General features: G+C 43.0%; 1 long non-coding RNA gene across 1 annotated transcript; it reads right to left on the reverse strand.

The window, feature by feature from the left end:
• Positions 1-372: 372 nt before the first annotated feature.
• Positions 373-6,123, reverse strand: LOC124904467 (uncharacterized). The gene is made up of 2 exons (XR_007066766.1): positions 6,083-6,123; positions 373-541 (listed from the first exon to the last, which is right to left on the reverse strand). It is a non-coding gene; the product is annotated as an uncharacterized LOC124904467 (long non-coding RNA).
• Positions 6,124-12,788: the final 6,665 nt, after the last annotated feature.

Consider the following 12,788-nt stretch of genomic DNA (forward strand, 5'->3'; position numbering starts at 1 on the left):
CTTGGTAATCAGATATAACCTGGGGATGATGGGAGTGGTGAAGAATTTGGTCAGATATTGAGGATGATCAGATATTGAGGGTGGGAAATCCTGGCCAAACCAACCTGACAAAATTCTTGCTGAAACTGGATGATGCAAGAAAGGACACAGAAGTCCAAAAGTCAAGGACTACCTTGGAAGAGGATAGTGGTGACAAAGAGTCTCTCCTTGACCAAATTTTAGTCAGGCTCCACCACTGTGACCCTCTGCCCATAGCTGAGGGCTGCAGCATCCGGGAAAGTAAGGTTCAGTGAGTTTTGAGTTTGGTCGTGAAGAAGGACAGAAACAAGATCTGGCAAACAGAAAGAAGTAACATTTGTTTGGAGATGGTGGTGGAATGGGAATGATCCTTTATTAAATCCTGGGCATTAGGTACATCTGATAGGGAGGAACCACTAACACTCAAGATCCTCCTGAGGCAGCAGCTCCCAAGTCCACCATTTTCCTCTGGGAACTTTTGTGTTTAGTCTGTAATCAGCTGAGCATTAAGGGCAGCATCATCCTGGAAAGTAAGTAAATAGGTTCAGGTGAGTTTTGAGTTTGTGAAGGACAGAAACAAGATCTGGCAAACAGAAAGAAGTGACATTTGTTTGGGGATGGTGGTGGAAGGGAACGATCCTTTATTAAATCCTGGGCATTAGGTGCACCTGATAGGGAGGAGGCAGTAACACTCAAGATCCTACCGAGGCAGAAGCTCCTGAGCACCGTTTTCCTCTGGGAACTTTGGTATTTAACCTTTAATCAGCTGAGCATTGTGGATTGCTAGCCTCTACAATCCCTACATGGTTTCCAGTTCTGTTAGGAATTGGGAGCAGAGGAAAGACAGGTCTGAAATGGGCTGGGTAATGGAAACCTGACTCTTTCTCTTAGAGCTCAAAAGAGTAGCCCATGTCACAAACAGGAGCCTCAGCTGGGCACCGTGGGGCTATTTGCAGCCTGACAGCCTCTGCTGAATTATTGATGCCCCTCAGTACCTCGGGACCTCCTCCATGTTAACAAATCACACTGCATATTAAAATTTAAAGAGGCAAATGAGGGCAATCTCTTTCCCTATTATTTCCCTCTTCTTTTGCCATCTGAGCTCTAAGTTTTAAGTCAATCAGCCTGAAAGGCTTCTCTTAGGAGATGGCACAGCTCAGAGAGCCAAGCCTAGGAAAGGAAAACTAGAGGCCATGAGTGGGCCCAGGACTGAGTCCTGAGTCAATTAATGGAGTCTGGGGGCTCTGGGCCAGGTGAGCACTGACTCTCTGAGTCGTGGAAACACCTGAGAAAAAAAATCTGTTCATTCCCTTCTTACGACAGTTATGCCACTGCCCAGTGTGCCATATCTCAAGTGTTTCCCTAAAGCAGAAGATAAAAACTTTTAAGTTGTGGTCCAAATTTGTTGTTGTTGTTTCTTAGTGAAAAGAGTTGCAAAAATTTTAAAATCAGAAGGTTTTACCTAAACCTGTTTTTTTTTATATTTGACGTGCTATTTTGCATGCAAATATAGTAAAAACTGTTTTACTACCTAGATTAATTATTCCTTTTATTAGTATAAATGACCTTTTCTCTTTGTTTTCATGCATTTCTCCTCAAGTTCTACTTTCACTGAATGTAATTTCTTCTTTTTTGTTTATTATTATTATTATTATTTTGAGACAGAGTTTCACTCTGTTGCCCAGGCTGGAGTGCAGTGGTGTGTTCTCAGCTCACTGCAACCTCTGCCTCCCAGGTTCAAGTGATTCTCATGTCTCAGCCTTCTGAGTAGCTGGGATTACAGGCGTGCACCACCAGGCCCGGCTAATTTTTGTATTTTCAGTAGAGATGGTGTTTCACCATGTTGGCCAGGCTGGTCTCGAACTCCTGACCTCAAGCCTCAGCCTCCCAAAGTGCTGGGGTTACAGGGGTGAGCCACTGCGCCCAGCCTTATTTCTTCCTTTAAACATAAGATTTTCTGACTTCTCTTCAGCGATCTGAAGACTTGGGCTTTCATCTGCACATTGTACCCCTTACTGGGGATGACAGTGGCTAGTCCTTCAAATGAAGTATGGCCTCTTAACCATGGTTCTTACCATTTCCCATTAGTGGTTGAATTTGCAACCCCTGATCTCAAGAAAGATGGCAAACAAGTTTTTCTATGTGCCAACTCAGGTCTATTAGCAAGACTGCCTGTAGCACCAAAATGAATCTGAGGTCAGCTGTGGTAGATTGCTGTGTACTTTGCAATTGTGCACCCCCCCTTCCCTCTAAGAGGATTGCATGTCTCTGACCTTTGCCATGTGACCATGTGCAGATCATTCAAGCAGAAGTTTTTAAGAGGCATCATAAGTTGTCGCCACCTCTCTGGCGCTTTCACATTCTGCTGTGGGAATAGCACACCCTATGATCCTTCAGCCTGGATCCCAGAAGGAAAAGGACACATGGAGCTAGTAGCTGATTTACAGCTTGGAGCTGAGCCACAGTCTGGAGCAGTGCTTCAGCCAACCCACAGCTTTCAGTAACATGAGTGAATAGCAAATGTTGCTGTAAGCCACAGAGAATTGGAGGTTATTCATTACCACAGTAAAGCTGACCAATACAGCAAGACTAGTCTTTATAGAAAAGAATACTGAGGTTTTTTTTTTTAAAGCAGCATTTTTCTATTTTCTGAGAAGAAAAAATTAGGTAGCATTAGGAAATTCCTGAATATTAATTTTAATTTCCTTCAATTTAAAAATATAACTTCCAGGATTCTGAAAAAATCATGGCATTGGCAGTAAAATAACTGAGTTGGATTCCTGAATCCACACTTATGACCATGTTATAAAATATTGAATGACGTTCCTTTTATTAAAGATAATTATCTTTTTTTAAAAAAACTTCTTGTGTATATTGAAGTTGTAGTATCTGTCAATTTCATTTCTAACAGTGAGCAGAGAATATAGATATTGTTATACAAAGGGAGTCTGGCATCTGATAGGGTTTTACCCACTACCTTATTGTGAGGATCAAATGACCTTGATTGAAAATGCTCTGTCAGCCTTACGTGATTACTAGTGATTTCTAGTTTTTGCTAGTTTCGTAAAAAACGGCATCTCTTTCTCACTTTCTCCATTAGGAGGCAGGTTAGGCATGACTATCACCATCTGACAGATGCAAAGGCAGATGAGGTGGCAAACGGGTCAGGGCCGGAGGGGATTTGCCAGCTAGTTAAGGGCAGAACTGAGAGGCAGTCAGTTTATCACGGAGTCTCCTGACCACCAGTAATCTGTCCACTGCCTTACTCAAAAGGGGGCCAAACCAGGCCTTATGAGCAATTTTGCTAATACACAGATTTCCAGTCTAATGCTATCAGTTATCATGAGGCATGTGCTGGTTTCTTGGAAGCAGTCAAATCTAATTAACCTCAATATCTACTTTCATGTTTACCTTTTACATCCTTTGGCCTCTGGCATTGCTTTAATTTACATTTTTCAGTTTGTAATGTCAATGTTCATCAGCCCCTTTCAATCCTTGATTAACCATTTTGTGGTAGGCATGCTAGTTATTCTTTTCTTTGTTAGAGACAAGGTCTTGCTCTGTCACCCAGGCTGGAGTGAAGTGGTGCCATTGTAGCTCACTGTAGCCTCGACCTCCTGGGGTCAAGCAATCCTCCCACCTCAGCCTCCTGAATAGCTGGGACTACAGGTGCAAGCCACCATACTCAGCTAATTTTTAAACTTTTTGTGAAGGTGGGGTCTCCCTTTGTTGCCTGGGCTGGTCTTGAACTCCTGGCTTCAAGTGATCCTCCTGCCTCAGCCTCCCAAAGGTAGTTTATTCCTAAGTAAGAAAAAGGTTTAATTTGCACATGGATAATACTAGTATGCATATTAGTATTATCTATATACAAATTATGAACTATGTTCATATTAGAGAACATTTATGGTATACAAAGTTAAACTCCCAGAGTTGGGATTTTTATACTTCGGCATCATTCACTAATTTTGGACTCTCTAGTCTGATACAACTTCAGGTCATCCTTTTGGGCTTCAAAGGAATTTTTATCCATCTAAAAGGCATCTCCACCTCAATGTCCCATAAACAATCAGACAGCTTTGAAGGAGAATTACCTAAACTAAGTGCCTGCTAGCTGATACATCCCCTTTTAGGAGATGTTGATGTGGGGCAAAAGCTGGGTCACTGGTTAGAAATCTGCTGCTGCTGCAAATACACAATGGAATCCTCCAGAATTTGGGGATGCCATGTCAGTTGCTCAGTATCTGAGGGCAGGCAAGCTATGTGGAACGGTCTTTGCTTTGGAACCCCACTATACATTTATCATTTTCATTTCCTGTGTTCTCTGCTGAACTCAAACTCCTTTTTTGAAAGTAGGCTTATGCCAAGAGGTCAAGGCTGCAGTAAGCCATGATGGCACCAGTGCACTCTAGCCTGGGTGATGGAGTGAGACCCTATTAAAAAAAGAAAGAAAGAAAGAAAGAAGAGAAAAAGAGAACGTAGGCTTATGATGGGGCTCCATTGGAGAGTAGACATCTTTTCCATTGACTTAAAACTTTCTGTGTGTGTGTGTGTGTGTGTGTGTTTAAAGAGAGTCTACTGATGCAGAATGAAGAAAGCTAGAGACCACCAGGTCATGGAGAAACTTCCTAGGGGTGGAGAAGAGCTCAGAAGAACCTTTTGGGGTAGAAGCTGTGAGGCCAGATGTTATCCAGTTTGCCAAGAAACCCTCACCTAGAGGCACCAAATTATTGCCCCCAGCTTTGGCTTGTAATTTTTGCAACCTCCCTAATGTTAAGGTTTCAAGACCTGCAGTAAATTTTTCTCAGGGGTGGAACATGACGACAAGGGGTTCCTCAAAGCCCTCCCTGCCACCAAGCAACTATCACCTAGCTCTCCACTTCTCTTCCCCTTCATTGGCATCGCCTATCTCCTACTCACAAGGGAGGGAGCTCCCTGTGGAAGGGGCTCTGACCCCACACACCCTCCTGCCACGGCATTTCTAGTCACCCTATCCCAAGAAGCTTTGCAAACTTAATGCAAGATGGACCAAGGCTGGGCTGCCCTGCATGTCAAGTGTGCTCAGCAAGCATGTCCCACCTCATCCCCTTGCCCCACCCGCATGGCAAAAATAATTAAAACACCGCTTCTACTATTTCCCAGATAACTTGGCATTTGTCAAGGGATTTCATGCACGTGACCTCATTTATTTTTACCTCAGCAGCTTTTGAAGCAGGGACCATGACTGCCATCTTAGGAATGAGGAAGCAAAACCTCCCACAGCTTTCAGGACTTGCCTGAGGCCTCCCTGCTGGGAAAGGGCAGAGCTAGGACTTAAGTCTGGCCTTTCACTTTCAGGCCCATCTTCCCTTCCCTAGTTGGCCTCCTTGGGTCTATGAGGTTGAGTCTCCCCCGTGTTTCCCCCAGTTCTCATTTCCCTCCTCCCAGTTGGCTCCACACCAGCCTCCCACCACAGAGTAGCTTCAGACACACTAGGAGTCCTTCCACAGCCGTATTCCTTTTTCGCCCTAGTCTCCTACAAAGTATATATTTTAAAGCTTCTGTTTATTTGACAGTCTCCCCTGATGGAGGGTAGAGGAGGTGATGGCTTTCTCTCTTCCTCAGTCCCTCAGCAAACATACTATAATTGTGTGACTTCCCTTCCCTAAGATTTTGCAATGACTCCTTACAACCAATCTCATAAAACCAGAGTCATTAATCCATCATGGAAGCAACTCCCTTCTAACTTTTTTCTTTTCTTTTCTTTTCTTTTTTTTTTTTTGAGATGCATTCTCACTCTGTCGCCCAGGCTGGAGTGCAGTGGTGCGATCTCGGCTGCTTGCAACCTCTGCCTCCTTGGTTGAAGTGATTCTCCTGCCTCAGCCTCCCGAGTAGCTGGGATTACAGGCACATGCCACCACGCCCAGCTAATTTTTTGTATTTTTAGTAGAGACAGGGTTTCACCATGTTAGCCAGGATGGTCTCGATCTCCTGACCTCGTGATCCACCTGCTTCGGCCTCCCAAAGTGCTGGGATTACAGGCGTGAGCCACCGTGCCCAGCCCCTTCTAACTTATTTCTATTCTTACCTCTCTTCTTTACGAACTCTGTGTTCTGGTTGTTTCTTTGGTCTGTGTCTCCCACTTTCCGCTCTGAATTCTCATTCTTCGAGGCTTAAAGGCCCTTCCTTCCACAGGTGCTGCCCCTGCCCCCCTCCCCTCCTCAGGCCCAGAGCACTTGGTTTGCGCCGCCTATCAGACATCTCACTCTGGCTTGTATGGTTAGATTTTACGCATGTGTATGTGTGGGTGTGATCCCCACCACTAGTGAGAAAAGTCTTTGAGGGAAAGGATCCCCTCTCGTACGTCCCCTCCTGCTAGAGGAAGGTAAAGGCATAGGGAACCACATGGCTTGGAGAAGGAATGCAGAGAAGCTGAGAATAAGGCACAGGTGCATAAACTTGCACAATAATTACTTCATTAATATCAAAACCAGTGTGAAACATTCTCAGTCCAGAGGGCGGGGCTGGGCCGGGCTCCTTCCTGGAGCCTCTGGCCAGCACTGCAATTCCTCTGAGGCACAGGGCTCTCTTGATATATATATATATATATATATATGTGTGTATATATATATATGTATATATATATGTATATATATGTGTGTATATATATATGTGTGTGTATATATATATATATATATATTTTTTTTTTTTTTTTTTTTTTTGAGACGGAGTCTCACTCTGTTGCCCAGACTGGAGTGCAGTGGTGCGATCTCGGCTCACTGCAAGCTCCTCCTCCCGGGTTCACGCCATTCTCCTGCCTCAGCCTCCCGAGTAGCTGGGACTACAGGTGCCCGCCACCACGCCCGGCTAAGTTTTTGTATTTTTAGTAGAGACGGGGTTTCACCATGTTAGCCAGGATGGTCTCGATCTTCTGACCTCGTGATCCTCCCACCTCGGCCCCCCAAAGTGCTGGGATTACAGGCGTGAGCCACCGCGCCTGGCCTCTCTTGCTATATTTCTCCAGTCCCTGTAGCTGTGCAGGAGGAGCCACGACCACTCGGGAACCCTCGTCTAATCCGACCTCCCATCCTCACTTTCCTCTAATGGCTTTAGGGGTGCTGACATAACAGTACCTCGCATTAGCCTTCATGTCTGTTACCCCATTTTATGCTAGCCATTCCTACCTTAGACATGAAGGACTGACATGGAGAAATTACATGATTTGCCATAGCTGTTTTGCAATACAAGAGAGTAAAGAGAAAAGCAGGAAAATATCAAGCTCTCAGCACATAAGCTGCCCTTGAAGAAGTCCACAGTAAATGTACCTTATTTTGTGACCATTTCCCACTGACCCCCCTCAGTTCCTCACCCCCAGCCTGCAGAAAAATGAGGTTTCCCCCTATCCCTAGCAGGGCAAGAGCCCACTAACAGGCTTGCGCTCTTTCTTCCAGACCAGAGCAATTCCTTTCCCTTAGTGAAGCCCTCTGGGGGCCTTCTATCACAGGTACAAGAACTGAAACATCCAGGCTGTCTGGAATGACTTGCTCAAAGTCACTGAACACATTGGTGGCCCAGTTAAGATTTATACTGAAAGCTGCTAATGACAGTATCTGTCCTCCAACCACCAGTCTGGGCCGATGGGTATCTGTTTATAACATGCTTTTCTCTGGCTCCCTTGACAGCCCCTAACCAATGTTTTCTTATCTAATTACATTCCATGTAATCTGCTCCTGCAGATTTGCCCTCATTGTTGCCAGCATTTACAGCCTTTTCCACACATTTCCTAGAAAATGCTCATGTCCTGACGTTAGGTAAATATTGTCATAGGTAGGAGAGCTCTCTGGTGTGTTGATCTATACTCCCGTACCACTACTAATTCTTCAAAAGGAAGCTTCCCAGAAGCCACAAGCTGAAGAAGCCACTTCATCTTTAGAATTGGTTTTCACTTGCTCAGTGCCATGGAGTGTTCAGTGAGACCAGGATGTCACTGCAGCCTCGTGGTTGTGTATTCCAGGTGCCTGGCCTGGACGGGCATAGGAGCAAGAGCTAGTGGGCAGTTGTCGGGGTGGGAGTGGAAGAAGGAGTTTTCATACAGGGAAGGTCAAGGGACGTAAGTTCTATTCTGCAGTGAACATTGTATAGGGTATTAGACAAAGCGTGTACCTTGTCTGTGTTTTAGTTTCTTCTTTGGTATAATGAAGAGGATAATGACTTTAAATTGCTTGCCTTGTCAGTAAGAACAAAATATATTTTTAAGGTTTTGGATGTCCAGGTAAGTGCTGGCATATGATTAGAATGGATTTAAGCCTTTGCGCTCTGGCTATGCCTCTTAATCCTGAGATCTTGGCCAAATTACCTGAGTCCATCAATCCCCAGTTCCTTCAACCAGAACAAGGGGAATAAAAACTAGTACCTACCTCATAGCATTGTTGTGAGGTTTAAATGAGTCACTGTTTATAAAGCACTTAATGTATGCCTGCATTTCTCTAGTGCCTCAGTACAGTCCTCACAGTCGGAGCAAAGATGACCCAGCTTAAATGTCTAGGGTTTTGAGTCTAGTGTATTGATTTCCTCATGGCATTAGACAAGCTGATCTAAAATTTTATATGGAAGAGCAATGGACAAAGGCAGTGTTGGAAAAGAACAAAGTGGAGACTTACCTCACCAGGCATCAAGACTTTTTATAGTGTTTGTATTAGGGTTCTCCAGAGAAACAGAACCAAGAAGATATATCAAGATATATGGAAAGGGATTTATTATGAGGAATTGGCTTATGGGGTTATGAAGGCTGAGAAGTCCCATAATCTACTGCCCACAAGCTGGGGGCCCAGGAAAGCTGGTGGTGTAGTTCCAGTCCAAATCTGAAGGCCTGAGACCTGGGAGTGCAGATGTCCAAGGGCAGGAGAAGATGGAGGTGCCAGCTCAGCAGAGAAAATTTGTCCTCCTCTGTGTTTTTGGTCTATTCAGACCCTCAACAGATTGGATGAGGCCCCCTGACATTGATGAGGACAATCTTGTTTACTTGGTCTACTGATTTAAATGTTAATCTCTTCAGAAAACCTTCCCAGGCACACTCCGAAATAATGTTTTACCACCTATCTGGCCATCCCTTAGCCCAGTCAAGGTGATTCATAAAGTTAACCATCACAGAGTTTCAGCAATCAAGGCAGATGGTACCAATGTAGGAATAGAAAAATAGACAAATAGACTTGGTTATCCATATGGAGAAGAATTGAAACACATTATACACACACACAAAATCAAATCCAGGTGTATCAAAATTAATACACTATGTGAAAAGCAAAAATATACTTTAGAAAAAAATATAGGAAAGCATCTTGGACTTAAGGGCTAGGAAAAGAGTCCTTAGATAACACACAAAAAACAAAAACCATAAAGGAAAATTGTGACAAATCTGATTGCATGAAAGTTATGTTTAAAATTTCCTTTTAATGAAAGATACCATAAACAAAAATTAAAGGTAAGCCCAAGACCAGGAGAAAGGATAAGAAATACAAATATTTGATAAAGTCCTAGAACCTGGATTTTAAAAAGAGCAACTCAATAATGAAAAAAAAGAAGCTGGCAAAACATAGGTTAATGTTTAATAGTTGTTAATTGTCAATAAATACATGAAAAGATGCTCAAGGTCCCCAGTAACTAATAAACTACAACTACAACCACAATAAGACACCATTGCTCACTCATCAAGTTAACTGAGAATTGAAAAGTATAAGCAAGAGTCTAGATAGGTGAGAATTCTTCCACATTACTTTGAACTTAGTTATAATCACTTTGAGCTAGAGGCTCCACCTCTGGGCATATAATCTCATGAAACTCTGTCACATCTGCAGAGAAGGTGTATAGAAGAATGTTGACTACAGCATTATTAGCAATAGAACAAAATAAGAGGAAACGAACTGACCATCAACAGTAGATAAATAAGCTGTGCTATAGCCATATAAGTATAATGAAATTTTGTGTAAGAACTGAAATGAATGAACTAGGATTACATGTATCATTAACATGGGTAAATCTCAAAAATAATGAATTTTAAAAAACCAAATTACAGAAAAATAGGTACAATAGGACACCTTTTGTATAAAGTTTGAAAGCATATAAAACAGCCTATTTGTTATTTATGGATTCACACATAAGACACATATGTGAAGAGTAGTATAAAGCATGAATAGGAATGGTAAACATGAAATTTAACATGATGGTTACCTGTAGGGTGGCTTAGAGGAGGAGCACGTAGGAGGCTTCAATTACTTTATAGTGTTTTATTATTTTACAAAATCTAAAGCAAATATGTCAAAATGTTAAGATTCAATAAAGTTAGATGGTGGGCAGACAAGTGTTTAATTATGTTATTTTCTCTCACGCTGTACGTATTTACAGAATTTTGTAATCCATTTTAAAAGATTCTAAATTGTCCTTTACTTCCAATACAAAGAAAGATGAAATTATAACTATATGCTGTTAAAGTTTTGATGTATGGCCTGCCACCCTCTTTCAACAGCCCTGGACAACTATTCCTAGTACTTAGCACAGTGCCTGGCCCCAGAAGAGTAGACGGAAAGAATAAAAGAATGAATGGACCTGTCCTTGGAAATAGAGGTGTGGCCACATGTACGCTGTGCCCTTTCTGTCATTAAATCACACTTTCCTTTCCAACCATCTCACTCAGCCTGAGTTGCCATCCAGTGTAATGATTCAGGGTAATTGTGCTTAGGGACGATTGCTAGTGGGATAGCAAGGAGTTGCAATTCAGCCCTGGCTGTGCTCTGAATTCATTAGTGAATTCATTTTCCAGCTTCGTGTCCTGCTCAGAAGAATGATCCTCTCTCCAAGCAGGGCATTGCTGTCTTTCTCATACTTAGCAATAACAACCAAAAACAAACCCAAGGAAATAAAATCACCAGGGAGGCTTTCCTCTTTAATTAAGGAGTTCTAATGAGTCACAGTCTCACCATGCATGGGACTCAATTATCCTTTATAAATAGGGGATTGTGAATGTGGGATGTGTTTTCTTTTGCAGCCCTGCTGCTATTTCTCCTTTGTTTCCTTCTCCTGGTGCTGCTGCTTCTCTCTGTACACGTGTATGCACATATGTGAAATTGATGACATAAAGAAGATCCAAATCTCTTCGCCTAGTCAACTTGAAGTTGTAAGATTCCTTGAGTGTCATTGAGAAATGTAATAGGGAGTGGGTGGCTTGGCTGGTAGCTTAAATGGTGCCAATGATTGTAAAGTCATAGGTACCATCCCCCAAAAGCCAGAATGATTTCCTCTGTTCTGCTGACACAGAGAGCATCACAAATCTTGGCAAATATATCATTGGTTACATGGTTGATCAGACAAGGCAGGGAGGAGTGAATCGTGTCAAATGGACCACCACCACTGAAACTCAAACCTGCCCCCACGCTGGTGATTTTTGTGGATTCCTTTAAGAGGAATGGTGAGTGTCTTCTAAGAGTAAGAAGGGTTAGCAGTGTTCCAGCTTACCTACAAAATGTGAAACTGAGAAAGCCCACTGGGGCGACTTCCATCTTTATTGCTAAAGAGTAAGAAATAGAGACTTGGTCATTCTCACTGTCATTTTTGTGATTTTTCTGAACCTGAAGGTATATAATGAGGAAAAATGAGACAAATTCAAGCAAAGAGAAATTTGGGCAGAATCTCTGGAGGGAAAAATAATCATGGTGAAATCCATTAGACTACGTAATAGTCATCCCCAAGGGGGATGACGTAAGCCTCATAGTTGCAGTCATTTAAATGTAGACTGAACCATGCATTTGTGAGCAGACCCCAGGGAACAATCCTGCATTGCACAGGGGATAGGGAAAGCGATAGGCCAGATGACCTAATAGATCTTCTGTAACTTAATTTCTAGGGTTGTGGGATCCTAATTAAAATGAACTATATTGCCTGTTATGAACCCTCCATGTTAATATTCTGTAAGGTCTCCAGGCAAGTCAAGGGGGTCTTGGCTTTTTCTTATTTCTTTTGAGCCAGAACCCACAGGCTGCCTTAAGCACCTAGCTGCTGTCCATCACTTCTTATAGCTGACAAAGCTTGACTTAAAAAAAAGTTTTTAAAGAAAATTACAGCACATATTATGAACTAACATTTTATACAAATTAATTGAGTGAAATGAGAGAAGTATGCTTCATTCTTTGACCTGTGATAATAAATATTCTTCCGGTCAATAACACGACGGTGAGTCAGCCCTGCGATGGAGGCAGTTGTCGCCATATAACACACAGGACTCCAATCTGCTTCCTCACATCTAGTGCTGACTTTTCCTTTTAGCTTTAATGATGTTTGAAAGGGAATATTGACGCTGGAAAAATCTTAGAGAGGCTCCACCAATCACAGACGAGCGCAATTCTCCACTAATGTGGGCCTCTTTTCCTTGACTTCCTCTAGACATGGAACTCCACTGAGGATTCTCAGGCAGGGCCACTGGCGAGCTGGCCAGAGCTGCTCTGAGAACCACCAGTGAAGGGCAGAGGGCACTTTAGCCCCAAAAGTAGTAGCAGTTTAGGGCAGGTGGAAGAGACGGGTGGTTCAATTGCCCCATGTGGCGTTTCAGGTGGGCCACATGGGTCAATTGAGTCTTATCAACTTGTGTCTTATCTAGCAATTGAATGCCATTGCTAGATAAGAGTGGTGACCTCCAGCTGGTAAGTTATTTTATCAGCCTTGTCCCATCCCAAGGATCCCCAAAAAGGCCACAGAACTCTGCCAGCAGGAAGTAGACACCGGTGTGCATCAGAGAATATCAAACT

The sequence above is a fragment of the Homo sapiens genome, chromosome 1 (assembly GCF_000001405.40).
Source record: "Homo sapiens chromosome 1, GRCh38.p14 Primary Assembly".
NCBI classification, from domain to species: domain Eukaryota; kingdom Metazoa; phylum Chordata; class Mammalia; order Primates; family Hominidae; genus Homo; species Homo sapiens.